Source organism: Homo sapiens, chromosome 8, assembly GCF_000001405.40.
Source record: "Homo sapiens chromosome 8, GRCh38.p14 Primary Assembly".
NCBI classification, from domain to species: Eukaryota; Metazoa; Chordata; class Mammalia; order Primates; family Hominidae; genus Homo; species Homo sapiens.
Window position 1 is genome coordinate 64,430,772 of NC_000008.11, and position 4,189 is coordinate 64,434,960.

The window sequence follows — 4,189 nt, forward strand, 5'->3', positions numbered from 1 at the left end:
CAAAAAAAAGAAAAAAGAAAAAATTGGCCAGGCACAGTGTCTCATGCCTATAATTCCAGCACTTTGGGAGCCCAAGGTGGGCAGATCACCTGAAGTCAGGAGTTCGAGACCAGTTTCACCAGCGTGGTGAAACTCCATCTCTACTAAAAATACAAAATTAGCCAAGTGTGGTGGCACATGCCTGTAATCCCCACTACTTGGGAGGCTGAGGCAGGAGAATTGCCTGAACCTGGGAGGTGGAGGTGGCAGTGAGCCAAGATCACGCCATCGCTCTGGGCAACAACAGCGAAACTCTGTCTCAAAAAATAAAATAAATAAAATAAAATAAAATAAAATAAAATAAAATAGCCAGGCATGGTGGCACGTGCCCATAGTCCCAGCTACTCTGGAAGCTGAGGCAGGAGAATCACTTGAACCCAGGAGGCAGAGTTTGCAGTGAGCCGAGATCGCACCACTGCACTCTAGCCTGGGCTACAGAACGAGAGACTCCATCTCAAAAAAAAAAAAAAAAAAGTTTTAATTATAGCTTGAGCCTCTGGATGGTAATGCCTATAGAATGTTAAAGTCAATATTTGAACATCATAAGCACGGTGGGACTTTCTCTTTGAATCTCAGTCTTACAGTGATTCTAAATGTCCCTTCTTAGCAACAGGAAGTTATCTTATTTCTTTCACAACAGCAATAGCAACAAAAATGATGCAACTACAGCCAGTTATTCAAATAGCTCAAAGAAAAGCTACATGATAGTTATTTATTCATTCATCCATTCCATTGTTTATTCAGTGAACCTTTCCATCCAGCACCTACTATGTCCACACACTAGCTGGGGTCTACCTATACAAGGTAAAAGTGGCAGATACGGTCACTTGTACCCTATTGCTGGTGATATCCAGTTTGCTTTTTTTTTTTTTCTTAAAGTCACTACTTGCATGCCCATGGAGGAAAATAGTTGCAAATAGCCAGGGTCAGTGTGTGATTTCTTACAGGGAGCTCTCTGGCCATTTGGTCAATGGATTCTAAAGTTGTTATGGCTCTACTTCAGCAATAACATCGAGCTACAGAACTAAACTATGTGACTGCATCTTACATGCCTGCCGTCTGGCTCACCCCTGAAAATCTGGTCTCCAAAGCCTGCTTGCTGGCAAAGGGAACCATGTAGAAAGGATTTTTGGCCTAATTGTGTCTGTTTGTTGCAATGCAATGCCCTTAACCTCCCAAGGGCTGTGTCCCAGACCCTTGCCTATAAAGCCAACTCCATTTGGCAAGCAATGTCTCTGACAAAGCAGTAAGCTTGGCCCCATTAATGTGCTTGCCTCACATTCTATAGTGTTTCACACCACATGCCTCAAATTCTTTGGTTTTCCAGGGCTTAGAGTACTCGGGGTAGCAGAGGGAGTTAAGAGACCTGAACACGCCTGTCATAAATGAACACACAGCTCCAAAGGGCTTGCAGTAAACATGGACACTATTCTTTTTTTTTTTTTTTTAATACTTTAAGTTTTAGGGTACATGTGCACAACATGCAGGTTTGTTACATATGTATACATGTGCCATGTTGGTGTGCTGCACCCATTAACTCGTCATTTAGCATTAGGTATATCTCCTAATGCTATCCCTTCTCCCTCCCCCTACCCCACAACAGGTCCCGGTGTGTGATGTTCCCCTTCCTGTGTTCATGTGTTCTCATTGTTCAATTCCCACCTACGAGTGAGAACATGCGGTGTTTGGTTTTTTGTCCTTGTGATAGTTTGCTGAGAATGATAGTTTCCAGCTTCATCCATGTCCCTACAAAGGACATGAACTCATCATTTTTTATGGCTGCATAGTGTTCCATGGCGTATATGTGCCACATTTTCTTAATCGAGTCTATCATTGTTGGACATTTGGGTTGGTTCCAAGTCTTTGCTATTGTGAATAGTGCCACAATAAACATACGAACATGGACACTATTCTTTACCAGATATCATTTTCCCTATCTATAAAGTGAGGAGATTGTCTACAACAGTGGCTTCAAAGTTTGTACTAGCAGCAGAATTATTTGTATCAAAGAAAGCTTATATAACAGTCCAGTGTGATTTGTGGTCCAGTAAAACTTACTATCTATAGTTCCCTAAACATTGTCATGACTTTTGTGCATGCTAGTTTTTGGCAAGAAATGTCCCCCCATAATAATCCACCTTCTCTTAGAAGCCATTGCTGAATGTCTCCTCTCCCTTTATAGTGTTAATCACTTGTTTGCTCATTAATTCATTCAGAAATGTAAATTTAGCTTCTATTGTGTTGTATCAGGTACTATGCTAGAAACTAGGAATTCACAGCTGAATGTCTGAGTTGTAACTTTTGTTGTATCAGGTACTATGCTAGAAACTAGGAATTCACAGCTGAATGTCTGAGTTGTAGCTTTGAAAGATTCACAATTCACTAGGGAGATGTATTAGTTGGGGTCCTGGTAAGAAACAGGTGGCCCACTCCAATGGAAAAGTTGAAGATATTCTGATGATGGGGCTATTTACAAAGGTGTGGGCAAAGTGTAAGGGAAACCAACAGGGAATGAGAAAGGGCCCAAGATAGGGAGGCTGAGGAAGGCAGCAGAAGGGAATGGAACCCAGAGAGAACCACTGCAACATCCCCAGAAGGCCTCCTGCAGAGCTGTGGCTTTGGGAAAGGAAGCCTGAAGCAAGCAGGGGACTGAATCTCCAGCCCTACATTTGCAAATGTCCAACAGAGCCTCCTACTTGACACATCCTCGAAAAGGCAAGGTAAGCCACTGGCCCTGCCCATGAAAGTCAGCCTCCCAAGACCCAGAAGAATTGTTTCACAGATGAAGAAACTAAGGCACCAAGACATCAAGCAGCTGGCCAAGATCACCTAGCTGATCAGTGGCAGGGGAGGAGGAAAACCTAGTTAGCCTAAGATCAGAGGCCAGTCTTACACTTGAAGCTATGCTCTTGCTATGATAGAGAAAGTAAAAGTCTAGTGATGGTACAAAGAAGATGTTGATCAGCTCCACTTGAGTGGGGCCTGGAAGATATACAGAACTCTGACAGCCATATTAAGGATGGGGCTGAGGTGGACGAGGATTGATAACCTGAAGAACAGGATGTACAAAGACGTGTGATTTACAAGGGCATTGTTGAGGGTGAAAGGGATCATTTTGACCAAGCGTAAGGAGGAATTTGAATGTGTGTGGGAAATGAACTGAAGTGGCTAATTGTGTCAGGTCATGGAACACCTTGAATGCTATTTAAACTGGTTTGGACTTGATTCGGTAGACAAAAGGGAAAATCTTGAATCTTGAAGGTTTTTAAACAGTGAAGTAACATAAGGAGATTTGCCTTTTAGAAATATCACTCTCATGGCTGTAGGTGACTGAATAGGAGGCAGGCAAGACAGAGCGTGAGAGATCAGAGGAGTCAGGACACTGCTATAACAGCCTAGGAGAAAGATGGTCAGGATGTTACTTAAGGCAGTAGCAGTGAGGAAAGAGAGAAAGGCACAGATTCCAGAGAGATTTAGGAGAAAGAAACATCAGGGCTTAGTGGTCAGGGGGATGTGAGAGTTGAGGAAAAGGAAGAAGGAGCACAGGACAACTCCCAGGTTTCTGATGCGCAGAATTTCTATGCCATTTTGATGCATCCATTTCTATTATTTTACTTCTGGTACAATTATTTTCATAGGGCATCTATTGAATGCCTTCTCTGAGCCAAAATCTATGCTAGATGCTGTGGATAGAAAGATGAGTTAGACAGAATGTTTTCCCTAGTTAAGGAGACAGACACATATGTAGACAATTTCAACACAATATAATAAATGTTATCATAAAGATATGCACAGGAATCACTTTCTAGTGTAATTATCCATTTACATTGCCTACAGCGTTTCTTATTCATTGCTGGGTCTCAGTGCTATGGCCATTGTCTCTCATATAGCAGGGGTTAATCAAGCACTGAACTGGCTTGGATCTTTGCAACAGTTTTGTTAAGCTCAGTACTGGTTTCCCAGGAATCTTATAGGGCTTGTATTTATCAGAGAGCAAGTACTATATCCTAACCCCAAGACTGCATGTATTCCTGACCTGTTCATGTCTATAAAAGTGCCCAGTGAAACACAGTAAGCATTACAGGAACATAGCCTATCACCATCAGTGGTTTCAGAGTGCAAAGTCTCCACACTCTTGTCAGAGGAAGTG